Source organism: Homo sapiens, chromosome 17 (genome assembly GCF_000001405.40).
Source record: "Homo sapiens chromosome 17, GRCh38.p14 Primary Assembly".
In the NCBI taxonomy this organism is placed as follows: Eukaryota; Metazoa; Chordata; class Mammalia; order Primates; family Hominidae; genus Homo; species Homo sapiens.
The window spans coordinates 64,099,768-64,122,733 of NC_000017.11; the positions used below are offsets into that span (position 1 = coordinate 64,099,768).

The following is a 22,966-nucleotide window of genomic DNA, read 5'->3' on the forward strand; positions in this document are numbered from 1 at the left end:
AATACTCTGGGGTCCCGTATTCCTTTTCTGTGGTGGAGACCCACCAACGGAGGGAGTGAAACAGCTGCTAGAACTTTGCACATCCCACCTCTTCGCTTTGCCCAGGGCCAGGGCCTGGGCCCACTCCCTGGAATGGGAGAAAGGACAGTAAGCTGTGTTGCCACCTACCGAGTCTACTCTGTGCAAAGCCTGAAGTCTGAGGAAGAAGAGTGCTTTTAATTCTACCTCTGGAACTAGGAAATTAATATCAGAGTATAAATCGGCCAGGAAAACATAAGCCTCAAGGGTGGTATCTGCCCTAGCCGGGGATGCAAAGGTCACTGTTTGGGAGTGGTTAGAATTATTTCAGCCCAGAGGGTCCAGATGGTGACAAGCCACCTGAACCACAGGTACCTGGGCCTGGAGAACTGTGGCCCTATGACAAGGCCACTGGGAGTTCATGAGTAAACAGGGGCTAAGTGAATTGGGGCTGTCTGCCACTGAGGAGGGGGAATGGGTGTGCAGCTTGGTGTGGGATGGCTGGATTATGTTAGGTGTGACAGTTTGGAGGATGAATAAATGAAAGGGCAAATTATGCATACCTGGGGCCAAGAAGTGGAAATCCCTGCTGAGCCCTCCTCCACCCCCCAAAGTTACCACAGGAATAACCACTCTGTACAACAGGTCTTGGGAGGCCACACAAGAAAGTGAGTTAAACTCTGGGTGGCTAAAGTGGAAATAAGGCCAGGCGTGGTGGCTCACACCTGTAATCCCAACATTTTGGGAGGCCAAGGCAGGCGGATCACTTGAGGTCAGGAGTTCGAGACCAGCCTGGCCAACATGGTGAAAACCCATCTCTACTAAACACACAAAAATTAGCCAGGCATGGTGGCATGTGCCTGTATTCCCAGCTATTCAGAAGGCTGAGGCAGGAGAATTGCTTGAACCTGGGAGGTAGAGTTTGCAGGGAGGTTACACTGAGCCAAGGTCACACCACTGCACTCTAGCCTGGGTGACAGAGTGAGACTCTGTCTCAATAAATAAATAAATAAATAAATAAAATGGAAATAAAACTTCAGAGAGCTCTGTGAATGTGTTTTCTGCCACATGGAAAAAGCTGAATGAGAAAGACACAGAAACAGAAAGCAGCCTGAGAAGAAACATGACTGAAAGGACTGGGAGAGCCCACCCTGGCTTCCACAGCTCCTCAGGCCCAGCTAAGTTCTTGCCCTTGGGCTCAGAGACCCTCCAGTCCTTACAATAAATTCCCCTCTTTGCTTAAGCCTGTTAGAATTAGGTTTCTGTCACTTGCAGCCCAAACAGTCCCCACCACACACCCAATGAGGAAAAATGCAGATAGAAAAAGGGAAAAAAAGGGCCAGGCGTGGTGACTCATGACTACATGTAATCCCAGCACTTTGGGAGGCCGAGGCAGGCAGATCACTTGAGGTCAGATGTTCGAGACCAGCCTGGCCAACATGGCGAAACCTCGTCTCTACTAAAAATACAAAAATTAGCCGGGCGTGGTGGTGGGTGCCTGTAATCCCAGCTACTAGAGACGCTGAGGCAGAAGAAATCACTTGAACCCAGGAGGTGGAGGTTGCAGTGAGCTGAGATCACGCCACTGTACGCCAGCCTGGGGGATAGAGCGAGGCTCTGTCTCCAAAAAAAAAAGAAAGGGAAAACAATACTGCAAAATTATAGCAATATTTCTTCTTTTCTCATTTTTTAAACTTCCAATAATATGATTTGCTAATCTGTAGATTAGCAAATTTTTCACAAAGTAGAAGTTTTCACAAAGTAGAAAGGAGATGGACAAGCTAGCAGGTAGGAGAGAAGCTTGAATTCGAAGGAGCTTCAGCAAGTGCCTAAGTTCCACATGAAGCACTTTCCACCTCAGGATAGTAGGCAAGTCAACCACCTTTGATCATTAATCTCCACCAAACAAGGGACCAGAGTTTAGAAACACAGGGGTCTCCCAATAAGAATGTATGCATCCAAGAATAAGAAGAGTTTGCTGTTATTAAAGCCTACAGTACAACCATAATGAACTAAGTGCCCCCAAGTATATCTTATCACAGTATTAATATTAAAAAGGGTTAATATTCACCAAAACATATCAGTGCTCCTTTGCTACTAGTGGAAGCACTAGTGGAAACAAAAGCCACCTGCCTTGTCTGAGCATCTTGGAAGCCACTGGAAGAGCAACATTCTACAATTGGTTTATGGATCAAAATAAAACACTAATCATGGCCGGGACCGGTGGCTCATGCCTGTAATCTCAGCACTTTGGGAGGCCGAGGTGGGTGGATCACCTGAGGTCAGAAGTTTGAGACCAGCCTAGTCAACATGGTGAAACCCCGTCTGTACTAAAAAAAAATACTAAAAAATCAGCCAGGCCTGGTGGCAGACACCTGCAATCCCAGCTACTTGGGAGGCTGAAGCAGGAGAATTGCTTGAACCCGGGAGGCAGAGGTTGCAGTGAGCTAAGATCATACCATTGCACTCCAGCCTAGGCAACAGAGCAAGACTCTGTCTCAAAAACAAAAACAACAACAACACTAATCACATGACTAATTTAGTCTTGGAAAAATCTCAAAAATACAAAGTTTAGAGAGAAGCTGAATTTGGCAACTGAGAATTCTGTCAATCACAATGTCTACAGAAATGCCACAAACTATTACAACTGGCAGGTTCTTCTCAAGGCTCTCAACTGTACCAAATCGAAACTCCTGGGAGCCACTCGGAACAGTGTTATTCTCTCATAAGGCAAACAAAAATGACAAATTTTCTGGCTTTTTCCCCTCTGGCATTTTTAAAAGCATGAACATGCCTGAGTTCAAATGTAGTTGCTATAGCTAACATGAATTAAACATGTTTCCAGATGCCTTGTGTGATACTGAGCACAGCTGAGAACTATTTGTACCTGAACACTGAAAAACGCTGCTTCACAAAGATGAACTTGTGCCTTGTCTTTGCCCAGCCATTTCAGTCCTCAGTGCTCACTTTTCTCTACAAGCAACATACCCTACGGCACACACACTGGTTTCCAGAGAGCCTGAAAATGGAAAGAAAATGTCGAGTCTGCAGATCTGTTTCAAGTTAACAACCATTTGAAATTTGATTCAGTTTTAAAACTAGTAGTTGGGAGGTTAAAAAAAAAAAGTGGAATATATACTCCTGGCTTTGATGGTGACTTGTAGGAAGTAACCAACAGTAACTGTGGAGGGTGGGAAGGGTAGTGGCAGGCATCTAGTCTAGCCTAAAACTAAACATCCATTAGCTAATTGGTCCCCACAGACATCAGACTCTGTCCAGCATGTGTCACTCAGTGGGCTTCAGCAGTATAAGGGTCCTCACTGCAGCCCTACTCAGCTGGACTGCAGCAAGTCTCCCTCCTATGAAAGCCAACACAAGACCAGCACTGGATCCTGATGTTCAATGTTCTGATCATAAAGCAATGTTACGGCTGGACGTGGTGACTCACACCTGTAATCCCAGCACCTTTGGGAGGCCGAGGTGGGCGGATCACTTGAGGTCAGGAATTCAAGACCAGCCTGGCCAACATGGTGAAACCCTGTCTCTACTAAAAACACAAAAATTAGCTGGATGTGGTGGCAGTCACCTGTAATCCCAGCTACTTGGGAGGCTGAGGCAGGAGAATCGCTTGAACCCAGGAGGCGGAGGCTGCAGTGAGCCGAGATCACGCCACTGCACTCCAGGCTGGGCAACAGAGTAAGACTCCATCTCAAAAAAAAAAAAAAAAAAGCAATGTTACACAAAATCCAGCAGCTTCCCCATTCATAAAATCCACCATTCACTCTGCATTTACTACAAAGATACAGAAGTGGCTATCAACTGCTTATGCAGAGATGATTGAAAGGTACATCACCAACAATTTAATCATTCCCTAATATTGTGAATTCAGCTAATTGTTAGGGCTCTTCCATTAATTAACTACTTATATATATTTCAGGTAAGAAAAAAATATTTTCTTAAATGCCTTCTGAAATAACTTCATTTAGAAAAAGTTTTCAGTAAAGAGAATTATGGACACAGGGGCAGACAGGTGTTCAAACAGCACAAAAACAAATGAAATGGCCTCTAACAAAAAACCACCAGTTTCTAAACTTGCATTTGGGACTGACTGGTCAGGCAGGGAGGCAAGCTCATCAGTGGCTAGAGAACAACCAGCAAAAAAACCACAGCTTCCTGGGCATGGTGACTCACGCCTGTAATTCCAATACTTTGGGAGGCCCAGGCAGGAGGATTGCTTGAACCCAGGAGTTTCAGGCCAGCCTGTGCAATATAGGGAGACCCCATCTTGACAAAAAAAAAAAAATTAATTTGCCAGGTGTTGTGGTTTATGTATGTAGTCCCAGCTACTCAGGAAGCCAAGGAGGGAGGATTGCTTGAGCCTGGGAAGCAAAGGTTGCAGTGAGCCAAGACAGTGCTACTGCACTCTAACCTGAGCAACAGAGCCAGACTCTGTCTCAAAATAAAACAAACAAATAAACAAACAAAAAACACAGGGCTTGATTTCAGCAGCCTTATCACTGAAGTTTTGGTTTGTTTCCACTTACCACTGCCTTGTTGCCCCCTGCAATGGTAAGTACAGCAGGGAAGACCCTGCAAGCTCCTCTGAGATTCAGAACGTGTGAAAGCTGAATGTTCCTTATCAGGGGTTTCAGAAATGTTGCTTTTGCCAAAAAAAAAAATGCAGCTTGTCAATTTCAGACATACATTTCAAGAACTGATTCCCAGGTTGACTACCTGATAACAAGGGTCAGGGCCAGGTGTGGTGGCTAATGCCTGTAATCCCAGCACTTTGGGAGGCCCAGGCAGGTGGATCACCTGAGGTCAGGAGTTCGAGAACAGCCTGGTCAACATAGTGAAACCCTGTCTCTACTAAAAATACAAAAATTAGCCAGGCGTGGTGGTGCACACCTGTAATCCCAGCCACCCAGGAGACTGAGTCAGGAGAATCGCTTGAATCCAGGAGGAAGGGGTTGCAGTGAGCCAAGATCGCACCACTGCACTCCAGCCTGGGTGACAGAGAGAGACTCCATCTCAAAAAAAAAGGGTCAGAAATAAGATCATTAAAATGGCACAGACTTTTCACCTCTAAGTCAATGGCAAGATACAGTGTCATGCACACGTGTTCCATACCCACAGTTTTCCAGTGATCTATACTTAACGAGGTTTATAATCTCTGCTCCATTTACAAAACTGGAGCATCTTATCCCTGCAAAAAAAAAGGCGTGTACACACACACACACACAGAAAACCTACGATTGTGAACAAGAGAGTCACACACTTCTCAGGTGGCATGTAAATGGATCAAGTCCAACCCAACTGTACATCCCTCTCTCTTTTTTCTTCTTTTTTCCTGAGATGAGGTCTTTGTCACCCAGGTGGGAGTGCAGTTGAGCGATCAGAGCTCACTGCAGCCTTGAGGCTCAAGCAATCCTCTCCCCTCAGTCTTCCAAGTAGCTGGGACTACAGGTGTGTGACACCAGCCTGGCCAATTTTTAAATTTTTTGTAGAGTCGGGAGTTTCACTACATTGACCAGTCTGGTCTTGAACTCCTGGCCTCATGCAATCCTTCCACCTCAGCCTCCTGAGTTGCTGAGATTACAGGCATAAGCTTAAAAATAATAATAATAAAAAAAAGACTTCAAATAAAAATCTTTTCTATGAATCTTCTTCCCATCACACCTCCACTCCAACAGACCAGAAGTTTATATAATCATCTGGCTAATAATAAAAATTTGTTTTAGGAATATCACACCAATGTCTAGAATTTGTTCAGAGGCTGGTTTTTTCTCTGTGTGTGTGTGTTTTTGTTTGTTTTGCTAATAGTCCTCTGTGTTCATTGGATTACTGTTATATTGCATAATCCCAACTTTAGTTTTATTTATTTAAGGTTAAGAAAACAGCCGGGCACAGTGGCTCACGCCTGTAATCCCAGCATTTTGGGAGGCCAAGGTGGGCAGATCACCTGAGATCAGGAGTTCGAGACCAGCCTGGCCAACGTGGTGAAACCCTGTCTCTACTAAAAATACAAAAATTAGCCAGGCATGGTGTAATCCCAGCTACTTGGGAAGCTGAGGCAGGAGAATCGATTGAACCTGGGAGGCGGAGGTTGCAGTGAGCCGAGATGGTGCCGTTGCACTCCAGTCCAGCCTAGGCGACAAGAGCAAAACTCCAACTCAAAAAAAAAAAAAAGAAAGAAAACCATTCCTCCAAACTAAAAATACTTACATAATTTGAGCAAGGACAATAGAATATCATACAATACCATGTGTACCTCAGTTCCTGGAACCCGCAACCTGCCAACAACAGCCAGGCTGCCTTTTGCAGTGCAGGGTTCCTTGCCAGGACTCAAATCTACTGGATGGTTGGCACAGAGGTAAAGCAATAAATTGGCGTTAAGGGTTCCTTTTAGTTGGCTACTGAATACATATTACAGTATTAAAGGTAAGACTTGAAACAAGTTATGCAAGTGAGAGAAGGATTATATAAGAAAGATTTCCAAGATATTTTGTTTTACTGCCCAGTTAGGACATATGAAATCTTGAGAACAATTAAAAGTGCATGTTGCTAAATGTAGAATAATGATTTCAAGTGGATTAGAATGTGCTAAGGAATTAGAGCTTATAATTATTAACCTTGGCAATCATGCTTGGAGGTGGGAAGGGCATGCCACACAGGGGAATGTGCCTATGCCAAAGCACCTATCAAAAAAAGCAAGATAAGGCTGATCCACCACACATGTGGATGTGGTGAGGGGTGCTGTCTAGATGGATAAGAAAGTAGGGGTTAATAATGAGTAATGGCAAATAGACTGGATTATTCTGCTGGCTATAACCGGCTGAAAGCCACAGGATGGATCAGCTGATTTTAAGAAATACCAGTAAGACACTTTCTGGCATGCCATAACAGGACACCAGTCCTACAGGGTTTCTTACACACACACACACACACACACACACACACACACACACACACACACACAAGCTCGCTGTCTCTTTCTCTCATAGGACACCAGTCCTACAGGGTTTCTTATACACACACACAAGCTCTCTCTCACTCAACCTGTGCAGTAACATCAAAACAACAGGAAGAAGTACCTCAAAATGGTATTCTATAACACAGACCCTTGAAAGGCACTAAAGGATATTCAAAACAAGGACATCTGTGTCTACAATTCTTCTACTTGCAGCAATATTATCTGTCTCAGACTATAAACTCAAAGCCTGGGCATTTGTGATTCTCTGCTTTATAAAGGCAGCCAGCAGAGTACCGCTTTCTAATACCATTTCATCACATAGTAGGAGACTGTCCGATCATGGCCAAAAAGACATCAAAAATTCACCAAAGCAGTAGAACACTGAAATCAGTGCCCAGTAAGTGCAAAGGTCCATGACATAAAACTCTCTCAATGATTAAAGCAAGCCCTCAGAGTAAAAGCCTCACAATGATCAGGAGGGGCTCAACTCTCCGCTCACAAAGGACTATCTTTGAAGTTATGTTAAGTAAAGACTTAATTAAGACAGATACAAAAAAAATTTGTTTTGTTTTGTTTCTTTGAGACAGGGTCTTGCTCTGTCACCCAGGCTGGAGTACAGCAGCACAAATCATGGCTCACTGCAGCCTCGACCTCCTGGGCTCAAGCGATTCTCCCACCTCAGCCTCCCGAGTAGCTGCGACTACAAGCATGCACCACTATGCCTGGCTTTTTATTTCATTTTTTGTAGAGATGGGGTCCTACTATGTTGCCCAGGCTGGTGTTGAACTCCTGGGCTCAAGCAATCTTCCCGCCTCACCTCTCAAAGTGCTGGGATTACAGGCTTGAGCGGCTGGCCTACAAAACAGATTTTTATTCAAATCAAACCCTGTTCCCTGACCCTCATCTCATTTACACATACTGCAGCAAAGTACTTATACCCAAATATGGAGATTTCTATACAGCCACCTGAACAGTGAGTAACAAATATTTCACTACTTTTAGTCTCCTGTCTGTGGAAGAACATTCAGAACTGAATTAAAACATCAGCCATAGACACAAACAAAAGTCTTACTGTTTTAAAGATTTCAGTCCACCAGTAAATCATTCCAAATTCTGTTATACTTCGTTTACCTGTGTGTAGGTCAGCAATAATCCATCAACCATACAGTTCCTTCTAACCAGTCTATCGGCTGTTATGTTTCCTGATATTAAGTCAATAAAGGCAACCATGACATTTGCTTTGGATGGGAGTCAAGTGTCTAGCTGGGATGCAGAAAAGGCCAAGGCCTAACTGAACAGCACTGTGTGGTTTCCAAACTAAGCAGCTGAGAGAGTTAAACTTTCAGTGTTTGTGGCAAGTCTGCCGTATGGTGTAATTAACCACCACCCAAGACAGTTAGGACTCTTCTTCAGTTTAGGCTACTGTCCTCCTTTAATAGATCTGATTAAAAAAAAAAAAAAGTACCTCATAAATCCACTGTATTCCTGAATGCAAAGGTATGCTAATTTCATAATAGGTGAATACAGTTCCCCCCAAACTGGTTTTGGGGCCTGGGCTGAGTGTCTGAGTTCAACCATTTGCAGTTCTGTTTATGTTCATGGTTGCTCTGCCATCAACTTACATTGCCATCATTGGAAGAAGAAACATATCTGGACATGAATGGTGCTACATGAAATCGTTTTCCCTGACGTGGTTAGGAAAACAAGCCCTTTTTCTTAGGGTGGTATCAAATCCCTAAGGTCCCTCAGGATACCTGGGGAGCTAAGCCAAATCCCACACTTTAGGAAAACTGAAACCCAAGGTTACATGCTCATTTAGTGGCTGAGCTTTAGAATGCAGGTGTCACTACTCTATTTTGTTGTCTTTGCTAAAGGGAAACAGCATCAACTGATATCTAGTAACAACCAAGAAACGTATCAGGCTAATTTACTTTAATGGAGAAACATCCTAAACAAACTAAACTAATACAGGCCTGACAGACTATAAATTTGTATGTGCACCATTGGCCTTACAAAAAGTCAAATTTTATCCATTTGAGTATGTCTACTCATATGCAGTTAAACCTACTATTAAGAAGTCCTGGCCGGGTGCAGTAGCTCATGCCTGTAATCCCAGCACTTTGGGAGGCCAACGCAGGTGGATCACCTGAGGTCAGGAGTTCGCGACCAGCCTGGTCAACATGGGGAAACCCCGTCTCTACTAAAAACACAAAAAATTAGCTGGGCGTGGTGGCGGGCACCTGTAATCCCAATTACTTGGGAGGCTGAGGCAGAAGAATCACTTGAACCCAGGAGGCAGAGGTTGCAGTGAGCTGAGATCGCACCATTGCACTCCAGCCTGGGTGACAAGAGGGAAACTCCATCTCAAAAAAAATAGAAAAAAAAAAGAAGTCCTCACGTAGAAACCCCAAGGGAAAAAAATTTAATTACATACCAAGTTTTTCAGTCCTGGTAACAGCAACTAATCTGAAACTGTCAATTTTGCTCTTCATATTTAGTTAGGAATTTCTTGCAGGGGACAGTAGAGGAGTAGACAGGAGAGTCAAGTAGAAAGTGGAAAAATACTCTAGTTAAATTAAAATTACCTACAAACAACTGTATTTATGACATAATTGCTACCTACACTGGCCAGATGTTGCCAAACTTTAGGCTAGAAAAGAAGTACTATGAAATACACCCCGAGTTGAGATATCTGGCTTGACTGACTTCTGCCAGCCAGGACCCCCATTGTTTGAAGTTGATTTGAGGATCACACACTTCTCTACCGGCCCAGGCCACCATACCACCTTCCTCTCTCCAATTAGCTGGATAATCCTTTAAGTCCATGCGGTTCCACACAATGCAGATCAACCAGTAGGGACTGTTTACTGCTTCTGGGATGTGTAATTTTTGAGATGAAAAGGACCGAAGAGATTACCTTACCCAACCCTCTCATTTCACAGGAAAAGAAATCAAGGCTCAGAGAGGTGAAGTGACTTGCCCAGGGCACCACAGACAGTTAACCATAGACACAGGACTGGAACCAAGGTCTCCGCCTCCCCGTCTAGCCCTTTTGCCCACTATGCCACACTATAATTTCACTACTTTAAATCACGGTTCACTGAGAGCCAAAGCCTAAATTACTTCAGGCCTGAAGCTCCCCCTTTGAATCCTGCTGGGGTAGATGAAGATCAGCACTCCACTTTGATATGAGGGTTGGATCTTTTGGATGAGACCAAAATGTAATTTTTAGAGTCTCTATAGAAACCCAATATACCAAATGGCACTGCAAATTATACAGGGAGGGGTCTTTAAAAAATGTTCAGCATGAAAATTCCTGAGATCTCACTGTACATCTAAGTGGGTGGGAATGGGAATAACACAACAAAAGGTCAAAGGTCTCAGCTTTAACCACCATAAAAAAATTCCTACAATACACACTTACCCAAACCAGTCTTTTTAAAAAAAGTTTGTTTTTATTTTTTACACTGACATATAAAAATTATATATACTTACGGTGTACAACATGATGTTCTGACGTATGTATACATTGTGGAATGGCTACATCAAGCTAATTAACATATCCATTACCTTACATACTTATCATTTTTTTGTGGTGAGAACATTTCAAATCTACTCTCTTAGCCATTTTCAAGTATATAATATGTTGTTATTAACTATAGTCACCATGTTATATAATAGATCTCCTGAACAGCCCAGTTCTAATGGTTTTAAAAAATGTCCTTTGATGAAGACGATGATAATGTAGCCACTGCCAATTCCTTTGATGAAGCCAACATTCTTTTAATGTCAGTGCCAAGGAAACGCGCATTACTGATCAGCACAGGACAACTCCTTTGAACTGTAAGGCCCATTTTAATGACCAAGCATAAACTGATGGGCCCCACACAGTAAGCTATGGCTGCTTCACTTGGTAGCAATAAGATGCTCACACAAAAGAAAGCCTATTCTGATACTGACTTTTTCATGTCAATATTACATCAGATTTCTGTAATTTCAGCATAGGTTTTCTATTATCTAGGCTTCTCTGAGAAGCGATCTTTATGCAGCCTCACACGTTTGAATAGAGATTGGAAAGCACAAGAAACTGCTGGGAAGACTGTGCTGGCACAACCAAACCTTCCGAGTTGAGGCTCGAAAACAGGACTCAGAAAAAGGGGCAAAGCATGAGGAACCGGCCAAGAGCGAACAACGTTGCTTTCTCCAGCTTATCAAGTGGTCGGCAGGAAACAGAAGCAGGAAAGAATTACCAGCCAGAAGATAGCAAACCTATGGGCTCAAAGAGGAGGCCTTTCCAGACATCAAAGGAAGAACTCCCTCGTGAAAAGGGAAAAATGGCTGTCCCAGGCAGGAATGGACAAGGGACCATATTATAAAATATTTTTTAAAAGTTTGTTTTTATTTTTTACATTGACATATAAAATTTATATATACTTATGGTATACAACATGATGTTCTGATATATGTACACATTGTGGAATGGCTATAATGATCCTATAAAGGATATTCTCTGCTGTCATTCTCAGTTTTCCCAGGAATCTCTCTTTCTAAAGTCACTACCCTGGTCAGGCTTCCGCCTAGCCTGGAGGTCATCCAATGTTTTTTTTTTTTTTTGAGACAGAGTTTGACTCTTGTTGTCTAAGCTGGAGTGCAATGGCGCAATCTCGGCTCACGGCAACCTCCACCTCCTGGGTTCAAGCGATTCTCCTGCCTCAGCCTCCCGAGTAGCTGGGATTACAGGCACATGCCACCATGCCCAGCTAATTTTTTGTATTTTTAGTAGAAACGAGGTTTCACCATGTTAGCCAGGCTGGTCTCAAACTCCTGACTTTAGGTGATCCATCCACCTCAGCCTCCCAAAGTGCTGGGATTACAGGCATGAGCCATCGCGCCCGGCCAGGTCATCCAATCTTATTGCCATCTTCTCTAGGTCCCAGAAGTGGACCTGGGCATCTGGATTGTGGGGCAAGGTGGCTAAGCTTCCACATTTGTTTTTTCTTTTAAAAACTGAAGAATAGCAACATCTCTCTAAACACTAAGAAAGCAAAACAAATATTGAGAATTTCAAAAGTAAGAGTTATACAAATATTAAGGGAGACTATTTAATTTAAAAAAAAATTGGTGGCAGCCAAAGAAATCATCAGGAAGTAAACCAAACTCAAAAACCTGATAATCCACTGCTCCTCATCTCTTACCTCCATTGCTCCTCATCTCTTACCCTCATGGGCAGACAGCAATAATGTAACAACTGGTGCTAGGAGACAATCAGGAATAATTAAGGAAGAGTTAAAATATGTTTGGCTCGTGGTGTTCAAGAAGGAAGCAGTGGCCGGGAGCAGTGGCTCATGCCTGTAATCCCAGCACTTTGGGATGCCAAGGTGGGCAGATCACTTGAGGTCAGGAGTTCAAGACCAGCCTAGCCAACGTGGTAAAACCCCATCTCTATTAAATACTCAAAAATTAGCCGGACACGGTGGCACATGCTTGTAATCCCAGCTCCTCGAGTGGGTGAGGCAGGAGAATCACTTGAACCCAGGAGGTGGACAGCGCAGTGAGCTGAGATTGCACCATTGCACTCCAGCTTGGGCGACAGACCGAGACTCTGTCTCAAAAAAAAAAAAAAAGAAGAAGAAGAAGGAAGCAGAGTATAACTGCTGAGGAGGTTGTCAGTAAACATTACTATATTTTAAGTTATGGGATTGTATTTCCATCATTTGGAAACTCACCTATGATGCTGCGGCTAAACGATTCAATAGATACTTGTTAAGTTCAGTGTAGTTCCTGAGCAGTATAATGTGGTTGTTAAAAAGGTAGATTGTGGAGCCAGACCACCTCAGGCAATCACTTACCTCTCTGTGCCTTCAGTTTCTCATCCATAAAATGGGGATAATGCTAATTAACTTTAAAAAGTTGTTGGGAAAAGCTTCTGCACAGCTGAACACATGGAGATTCCTGATGGGTGGGGCATACCCCAAGGGCATGAGATCTCCATGCCCCTTCCCGCATGCCTTGCCCTATGCGTCTCTTCATCTGTATCCTTTATCATAAACCAGTAAATGCAAAAGTCACCAACTCTAGTCTAATTGGAGTGGGCTACACACAGACTCTGAGGCCTGGTGTGAGGCTCACACTGTCTGCTCTGGTAGACAAGAGATCATCAATGCTGGAGATCACAAACTTGGGTGTGCTCTGGAGGTGGAGGCTTAATCTAGCTGAAAGAAACCTCTGGGAATGGATATCAGAAGATCGGGCCTTAATATATTTCCACTGTGACTAGCAGGCTTTTTTCCCAAGAAGGTGATCCAAAGGATGATCTAAACAAAAGCTGTATTTTAAATATTTTAACAGTTACTGGTTAGTTGGTTCCCTGGCTATCTAGTTACCAGTGCGGCATCATGCAGTGACCTATATGTTTAAGCTGTTAAATGTGCTACCCCCACCAATAATGAGATAGACTTTCATGAGAACTGTGCAGCTGTGTGGATGTTTGTTTTTATGTTCCCTTAACCACTGCATATTGCCATTGAATGAGATGGATCAGTGGATATTTTAGGATGAGGTTAAAAACATTTTATTAAATTCAACCATGATTCACATTACTTTTGCTATCCTAGACCATTACAAATTATGAATAAAACAAGTATACATAATTAGTGGCTCCAAGTATTCGCAGAGTTAAACATTTCCAGCTATGGCCAAATCTCCCTGGTATCTAACACTTTATTTTTCCAGAGCATTTTGCCCTTTACGTAAATCTTTTTTTTTTTTTGAGACAGAGTCTCGCTCTGTCACCCAGGCTGGAGTGCAGTGGCGTGATCCCGGCTCACTGCAACCTCTGCCTCCCAGGTTCCAGCAATTTTCCCGCCTCAGCCTCTGGAGTAGCTGGGATTATAGGCACGAGTCACCATGCCGCCAGGCAATTTTTTTGTTTTGTTTTGTTTTGGAGACAGAGTCTCACTCTGTCGCCCAGGCTGGAGTGCAGTGGCGTGATCTCGGCCCACTGCAACCTTCACCTCCTGGGTTCAAGCAATTCTCTGCCTCAGCCTCCCGAGTAGCTGGGATTACAGGCGCCCACCACCATGCCCGGCTAATTTTTGTATTTTCAGTAGAGATGGGGGTTTCACCATCTTGGCCAGGCTGGTCTTGAACTCCTGACCTTGTGATCCACCCACCTCGGCCTCCCAAAGTGCTGGGATTACCGGCGTGAACCACCGTGCCCGGTGACCTTTACCTAAATCTATGCCACAAAGTCCTCTGTGTCCCTAGAATAATTCCATGGGCTTTCAAAGACTGTAATAAGAAGGTAAATGCTAAAAAAAAAAAAAAAAAAGCTTTTGCAAGGAGTGTTGAGTCAACATAAGTAAAGCTCTTGAACGGGCCTAATATACAGTAAGCATCATGTAAGTGTCAGTTACTATTATTCATTAAGAACTGTATGAGACACTAGGATCTAATCACAACAAATGAGATCTGGTTTCCTGCTTTCATGGAGCTTACAGTCCAATAGGAGACCCCAGTAATCAATAATGACACAAACATAAAATGACAAATTGTAGTAAGTGCCATGAAAGGGACATACTGGAAACTGCGACAGCATAACAGAAGAAGAGCATCTGGTCTTGTGATGGTGGGGGAAGCACAGTGTTAAAAATGATGTTTGAGTTAAGATCTATAGGAAAGGGAGAAGGAAAGAAGAATTTCCTGGGCAGAGGGAATAGCCTATGCAAAATTCTGAGACTGCAGAGAATTTGTTGTGTTTGAGGACCCGGTGGACCAGTGTAGCTGGACAGAGAAGGCAGAGGGGATATGGGACACGGTGAGGTTGGGGGAGAAGTCCCAGAATGGCGTGGGCCACAAGAGTCAGAATCTTTTTTTTACGTGTCTTATTTGTTATCTATGCAGCTGAAGGAAAGAACAGGAAGGTTGCTGTTCACATCGTTGTAAAGCCACCTGGAAGAAAAAAAAGCACTCTCCCTAAGGTGAGGCGTGTAATACACCAACCACAATCTGTTCACACTCTCGGTGAGTCTCCTCCAGTGTTTTAATTTATACTAACATTCGACTGATGTTGCCTAGCTGGTTTACAGCTGAATATTAGCAGAACACATCAGAACTTCGTAGGAGAGCGTAGTAAATATGGCTGTTTTTGTGATGAAATGTGGCCTTCAGAACAAACCCCAAGGCAGGTTTTCTTGCTTCCTAAGACTCCTCATTTGAGGGGGAGCCATTTCTCTGACTAGCCATCATGCATGGAATCAGAAAGCTCCCTCTGAAGGGTTGAGGAGTTAAACCTGCACCTTCCCGTCTTTTTAATCTTCCAGGCGCCCCATCTCCACAGTACCTGCAGTCAGTGCCAGGACTATTTTCATTACAAGAGGCAGAAATCTTGGGGATACTAAACTTACAGGACAAGGTAAGTCATTGGCTCATGGTCTCACATTACTCAAGTAGGCTGGCAAGGACTTCAGGATTTGCCAATCTCTTCCAGGCACTCCCTGCCTCATACTTCTTCCTGTTGGCTGACTCTTCTATTTCAACTCCTGTGTGCTAGTTCACTTACTCCAACCCTGCCCCTAAGCTGGACTCTTATCCTACATATATGCAGAAAGAAGGGTCCTGTTACACACAAGGCAATGCCGCCCCAAGGCCTGTAAAACTCCTGGCTTCAAGGGGTTTGCCGTCTAGCAGGAGAGTCGTGTAATGCAGAAAAAAAGACGGCAAGTTCCATGGCCGAACTTCCCGAAAGCTGACTTGGCAGCATATCCAGGTCCTGCCCAGAGCAGTTCCAAGAGTCTGGTCCCACCCTACCCTGCTCAGCTGTCTTCTCACTCCTTGCCCTAGCCTGTGTCCATATAGCTTCAAAACCTGTTATTTTATCCTCTCAAAACTCTTTGGTTTAAAAACAAAACCAAAGTTCCTCAGGTATCCTCATGAGTCTGGAACATATAGATGCTTTTGGGGTGAATGAAGCTGACAGAAGATGAGGTGGGCACACAGATGCATGGTCTGGTTTGAGCTCTGGGCAAGTCATTAGATTTTTCCAGGCATGGGTTTCCAAGAAAGTAAGAAGCCTGAGGTGGATGGTGGCTGCAGCTCTGAAGCATGATGATCCATGACTTACCAGACCCTCATCTCTCCTCAGGCTTTGCTGCAGCTTCTTCTAGCCCCAACCAATCAAAACATGCCCAAAATCCGCATAACAATTTGACAGAGTTTAGAAGTCCTAATGCCTTTGAACATAGTCATTTCCAATCCTGGTCTTGCAACATCTAAGTGTCTCCGCTTATCTCAAAATATTGCAACATTAGAAATTAGTAATAATCTGACTCACTTTAAGGTTCAGGATGGGGAAAAGAAATACCATGAAAATCAACTAATGTTACATGGGACCAGGTGGCTGATTCCCAGGCACACCTACCTACTATAGACTCTAAAAGCAACCATCTCCTAAACTGAAAGGGTGATACCTTTTCTTCTGCCAACCACAAATCAGATAAGTGATTGAACTTTTACCAGGCACCGAAAGCCCCAGAGATTTCCAAGCACTGAACCATCAAGATCAAGATAACTTAGGGTCCGTTTTACAAGCAACTGTGGCTTGGTTCCCAGTTAGTCGAGCACCAAAACTACAGATAAACTTGTTCTTAATCTCCACATATAAAGGAAACCGTTTTCTTCTTTGCAAAACCAGCTCATGGCAAGTGGAAAACGAACCCTAACAGAATTCTAGAATAAGGTCACTGGATTGCTCATAATGAGGTAGTACCTTTAAAGGTCAGAGATTCCCCAAATTTGTTCTTAGAACTTTCTTACCGCATTTCAATTTATCGGGAGATGTTACAAATACTCCTACAATGGAAAAAAAATGTAATCTTATTTAATGTAAAAAAAAAATAACACACACACACACACACACAAACACACCCATTTGTGTATTTGGGTGCACAGCCATCACAAAAATCAAAGAATGGCTGGTTCTGACCCCTCTGAGTTGTGGGGGTTTTCTGAGGTTTCCCTGACAGGATTTAATGTCTTATCATGTTATCCTTAAAAATCAACAACGTGGCCGGGAGCGGTGGCTCATGCCTGTAATCCCAGCACTTTGGGAGGCCGAGGTGGGCGGATCACAAGGTCCGGAGATTGAGACCATCCTGGCTAACACGGTGAAACCCTGTCTTTACTAAAAATACAAAAAAAAAAAAAAAAAGCCAGGTGTTGTGGCGTGTGCCTGTATTCCCAGCTACTTGGGAGGCTGAGGCAGGAGAATGGTGTGAACCCGGGAGGCGGAGCTTGCAGTGAGCAGAGATCATGCCACTGCCCTCACTCCAGCCTCAACGACAGAGTGAGATTCCATCTCAAAAAATAAATAAATAATAAAAATTTTTAAAAAAATCAACAATGTGGCCAGGCGCAGTGGCTCATGCCTGTAACCCCAGCACTTTGGGAGGCCAAAGCAGGTGGATCACTTGAGGCCAGGAGTTTGAGACTCACCTGGGCAACATGGCGAAACCCCGTCTCTACTAAAAATACAAAAATTAGCTGGGCGTATTGGCACATGGCTGTAATCCCAGCTACTCGGGAGGCTGAAGCACGAAAATCACTTGAACCCGGGAGGCGGAGGTTGCAGTAAGCCAAAATCACGCCACTGCACTCCAGTGTGGGCGACACAGTGAGACTCTATCTCAAAAAAAAAGAAAGAAAAAGAAAAAGAAAAGAAAAAAGAAATAGAAAGTAAAGAAAAATCAACAATGTTCACGCTCAGTCCCTCATATTTGCTCAGGATTTTCAGACATACCTGAGGACTATCAACACCAGTCCTCCAGAAGATTAGACAAGAAACAAACAGGAGCACCAACCTGTACATTACCCCAACACTAAGTGACGTGGTGCTATTTGGAGTGCAGGAAGGGATCTAGTCTACGAGAGTACAGTGGTCAGGGAAGGCCCTAGGCCCTATACAAGACAGGTGAGCGAGAGCCGATGAAACCACACCACGGTGTGTGGCAACTTACGAGGCCTCCATCTCCCTTGCTCTGCTCTATGTTTCTCCCCTGCAACCCCTGCAGAATTTTATCACCTTATCACATTCTATATAATGTATTTACCATGCTGTTGTCTATCCCAACCAACTAGGTAGAAGTTCCATGAGGGCGGGGGTCTTTGTTTTGTTCATGTTTCCCAAGCATCTCAAACAGTGCTTGGCATAAAATATGTACTCAAAAAGTTGATAAATAAATGGATGAACAGATGAAATTCACTACATTCAAGAGCTAGGAAGCTGGGAGGCTCAAAGCAAAGCAGCCCTCCCATCTTCTACCTCCCCGTATGAGGCTGCACCAGAAAAAGAGGCGGCTGGGGGACTAGTCGCTTTCACCTAAATGGTGATCCTAATTTGGGAAGACATTTGGAAACAGGCCCACCAAAGAGATTTTCTGGTTCCGTTGCTTTGTTTTACAGATGAGGAAGCAGAGGGGGAAATAACTCATTTGCCCAAAGTTGCACAGCTAGCTAGTACAGAACCTCCGGACTCTCACTTGCTGAAAGAATGCATACAATTTCATCATATGGGGCAAACACACATATAGAAACAAGATACTGGCCCTATGATTACATTTAAAAACAGCTAAAATGATTTTACATTTAAAAACAGCTAAATGCCTATCTGCTCAAGGAGTGCAGAACTGGTCTGCCACTTGGGATTTCCTTTAAGCATTAAGTTAAATTAGGAAACAGCCCTGGTGCTGGAGTCCACACAGCGCTTTCAGGCCAGGTGCCAAGCCCCATTCCAAGGTTGTATTCAAAGAGCGGGCTCCCAATTCTACTGACATTTGTCAACTTGGTTCCAGCAGAGTTTTGGATTTGGTCCAGCCCACTCAATGTGATGCTTGAAAGCAAGTGTCCTCCTGTTTCTAAACCAGCTAATAAAGATCCTCTGAGAAACAACTGAGATGGGTCCGGGAGCTGAGACAACTGACTGGTCCTCTCCTGTGTTCTACAGTTGGGCTTGTCAGCTCGGCACCTGCTATAAAAACCCTTCGAGGGAACTCTGCCTGACTCAGGCAATGAGGCTAATAGCCAGCTCTCACATGAAAAGGGGAAGGGAGTGTCACAGCCTGCACCCTCCCACCATTTGCTTCCAAAACATATGTTCCCACCCTGATAGGAAAGTTCCTGTTGGTTCACAAGCTTCTTCTTGTGCTTTAACTAACTCACTCCTTCTACAAATCCCTTCTCCTCACTCGCAATGGCTATTTCATTTTTGTTATGGAAGGTTCTTTTAAAACCATGAAGATGATTTTACCCATCAGGATACTGTGAAGGAGCCTGGAAAACAACATTGTTTTGATTTCTTAAGCCTCTTAATATATGGAAAAGGCAATAAACAAATATATAAATAAATAAACAAGCATAAGTCGGGTAACTTTAAATAAACATTTAAACATCTTACAATTCAGTAACTAAATATGTTTTAATATAAGGCCTATTAGTTAAAGCTGATAAAAGCAATTTCAACAGTTTGTATTCAAAGGAAAAAATCCATTAAATTACCTGCTCTTTAAAAGTTGAATGATATAGTACAGTAGAGAAAATGTAATATTAGGTTCCTTTTTTTCTAGGTTTTTTTTTTTTTTTTTTTTTTTTTTTTTGAGATTGAGTTTCACTCTTGTTCCCCAGGCTGGAGTGCAGTGGTGGGATCTTGGCTCACTGCAACCTCTGCCTCCTGGGTTCAAGCAATTCTCCTGCCTCAGCCTCCCAAGCAGCTGGGATTACAGGCACGCGCCACCACGCCTGGCTAATTTTTGTCATTTTTTTAGTAGAGACGGGGTTTCACCATGTTGGCCAGGCTGATCTCCAACTCCTGACCTCAGATGATCCGCCCGTCTCAGCCTCCCAAAGTGCTGGGATTACAGGCATGAGCCACCACGCCTAGAACTAGAAATAAAGTTAGAACTTTATTTCTAGTTCTAACACTAACTAGCGGACTCTATCAATCCTAACCTCTCTGTAAAATGAGCCAAATGCTGTGTCTAGTCTGGTCCCGTGCTCTGTGACGTGACTGGGAATTTGGAGATGCATTTGTTCTTTCCAGGATTAAGGTACAAAAATTACTTGAAGGCCTCATCCTGGCTGCACATCAGAGTCACTTGGGCCTTAAAACATTTTTTGCTGGTTTATTTGGTAGAGATGGGGTCTTTCATTGTTGCCCAGTCTGGTCTCAAACTCCTGACTTCAAGTGATCCTCTTGTCTTGGCCTCCCAAAGTGCTGGGATTACAGGTGTAAGCCACTGAGCCTGGCCTTAAACATTTTTTTTTTAAAAAAGAAAAGATGCCGGCCCCCACTCCCAGAGATTCCAATTTCATTCACATAGGATGGGGCCCCAGCACAGCGTTTTTAAAAAGCTCCCCAGGTGACTGAGTCATGGCTGGGAAGCACCGCCTCAAGTAACACATTCCTAGCCACAGTTGTGGCCCCCTGTACAGGTGATTCTCTCACTCCTAGTGGCCCCTCAGGAGTCATGGGCCATTTGCTTTAAGAGAAGAGAGATCTGATTTACCTTGGTCAACAAACTTCTCTGACTCAACTGGAGATCAATGACAATGTCAGGTTCTAGGGATGTGACAGCACTGTTTGTTCAGAGAATGTACAGAAAAATTCGGTTTCCATGACAGACACTCCTGCAGCCCAGACAAACAATTATTCCTTCATCTGACAGAGAGGGGGGAAATAATCCACTGGAGAATGGGATGGTTTTGAATTATAATTATAAATTAGTCTACTAACAAAGGAAGTCATGTTTAATACATGAGAGGACAACTCTGGGCCAAGGTTCATTTTTTTAACAGTGAAACATCATGCTGAGTGAAAAATGAAACTGACATGAAATAATCACAAACTGTTTACCTCATGGAGTTTGGCAATGGAAAAATTAATCTCATTACTGATAAGAAGAGCCCACCAAAAGAACACTACACACTATGGGTCACGTCCACCCAAGCAAATATCCTGAAAGCTCCTCTAGTTCTGTAGAAAGACACACAACTGGTGCAATCCCATTAAAGAATATAAAATATAGCTGAAGCAATACCTCCCACCCCCATCCACAACCCACTTGCTTGATGATATAATACAGCCCCTTTATTGGTCTTAATGAGTCTCAAAGAAGAATTCAATAAATATTTGCTGAGTGCCCCCTACAGTGGGTATAACCAGCATGCCACGTTAAATGCCACAGAGGATGCAACCATCAGCAAGCCAGGGTCCCTGCCTTCTCGGATGAACCAGCAAGGGAAGTGAGACACACTCCCAGGGGCACCTTCCTTCCCCCCTTGCTCCTTCCTTCCCTCATTAGTCTCCTCTGAGAGCTACCTAAGCTAACTTGAATCCCTCCATTGTGGTTTAAGAGCCAGAGTCACAGCCACTGTCTCTCTCCTGTCATCACAGACCTGCTCCCTGGTGCCAGAACTGCTTGGCAGGTGGCGCCTCTGCAAAGGCAAACACCCAGAACCAGCACGGTAATGCAAGAGTTCTATCTTTTCAGGACTTCTTGGTGAAGGCTGTGACTGAGCTAGAGAAGAGCGGCTTGGGTTAAAGGCCTCTAAGGAAAGAACTTTCAGTTTTGTTCTTTCAGACATATGACTAGGCGAGATGTTACTGAAAACATGCACCTGCTTGGATATTATTAGACTCCAAGCAAAGAAATTAGCTTAAACTGTGAATTAGGCTTAGCAGGCAATTTTTTGTTGTTGTTGTTGAGACGGAGTCTCTGTTGCCCAGGCTGGAGTGCAATGGCAGGATCTCAGCTCACTGCAACCTCCGCCTCCCAGGTTCAAGCGATTCTTCTGCCTCAGCCTCATGAGTAGCTGGGATTACAGGTGCCCGCCACCATGCCTGGCTAATTTTTGTATTTTTGTAGAGATGGGGTTTCACCATGTTGGCCAGGCTGGTCTTGAACTCCTGACCTTATGATCCGCCCGCCTCAGCTTCCTGAAGTGCTGGAATTACAGGCGTGAGCCACTGTGCCCAGCCGAGCAGGCTTTTAATCCCTACTCTCTCCATGATTGCTGGATTTGACTCTACAGTTGAAAATGGCCAATTTCCTTGATGGAGACTCTCAGGTGAAGGCAGCATTCCCATCTCAAAATGGCATCTTCGCACAACTGCAACAAAGGGTAGAAGGCCATGATTCTTAACGGAGGAAAAATAACATTATCTGGGTATTTTCCTGAAGCTTACAAGAAAGCCTACTGGCCTAGACCTTCTCTAGATCCTTCTCTCATGGCCACATAGTTTGGTCAGCTCCTCAGGGTATGACTGAGGGTAGCCAGACTGGTTTGTCCCAACATACGCACCAGAACATAAGCACTGCAGGGGCTTCTCTTCAAAGGGAGGTAGGAGGATCAAGTTTAAGGTTTGGTTCTGCCACTCACACATGACCCTGGACAGGTTACCAGCCCTTGCTGGTTGCCTTTTCCCATCTGTCTGCTCTGGAAGACAGAGCAGGGTAGTAATTTTTCTCAGCTTGGGAGAGGAGGGTAATGCCTGAGAGAGGGTGCCCCAAACACCACCCTCCTAGGTTCTGATGTGCTCATACTGTTACTGAGGGATGTGCGCCATATTTCTTATGTGCAGCTGGAAGGGGAAAAAATTGAGACTCATTGGACTACATGGCCGAGAGCCCATCAAGCAGTCTAATGCACTCTGATTCCAGTTATCTTGGGAGGCTACACATCTATTCATACATGCTTCTAGGGCTCAAAATATTTCTGGAATTCTTTGGAAATTCCCTTCAAAGAATATACTTTTGAATCCCCTAAATGGTAAAAATCCTGTTCACTTTAGGATGGATTTCATTTTAATAAATAGCTGAAAACCAAATCCAAGTGTCCTCAATAAATTGTGTGATCAAACTGGGTAATAACAATTTTGATCAAAAGTGTAGTGTGAATCATGTAAAAGTCCTATTAAGCAAAGAC

General features: G+C 43.9%; 1 protein-coding gene across 1 annotated transcript in view, besides 3 other annotated features; it reads right to left on the reverse strand.

The window, feature by feature from the left end:
* The window catches only part of ERN1 (endoplasmic reticulum to nucleus signaling 1), a 91,003-nt gene that overhangs the window by 60,626 nt on the left and 7,411 nt on the right, over positions 1–22,966 (reverse strand). The window lies entirely within an intron of this gene.
* Positions 4,308–4,357: an enhancer, noted in NCBI's record as "active region_12580". NCBI's record gives its function as "activates an Ori minimal core promoter by ATAC-STARR-seq in GM12878 lymphoblastoid cells {active_cell/tissue: GM12878}" and the evidence as "EXISTENCE:reporter gene assay evidence [ECO:0000049][PMID:35858748]".
* Positions 21,271–21,330: an enhancer, noted in NCBI's record as "active region_12581". NCBI's record gives its function as "activates an Ori minimal core promoter by ATAC-STARR-seq in GM12878 lymphoblastoid cells {active_cell/tissue: GM12878}" and the evidence as "EXISTENCE:reporter gene assay evidence [ECO:0000049][PMID:35858748]".
* Positions 21,561–21,700: an enhancer, noted in NCBI's record as "active region_12582". NCBI's record gives its function as "activates an Ori minimal core promoter by ATAC-STARR-seq in GM12878 lymphoblastoid cells {active_cell/tissue: GM12878}" and the evidence as "EXISTENCE:reporter gene assay evidence [ECO:0000049][PMID:35858748]".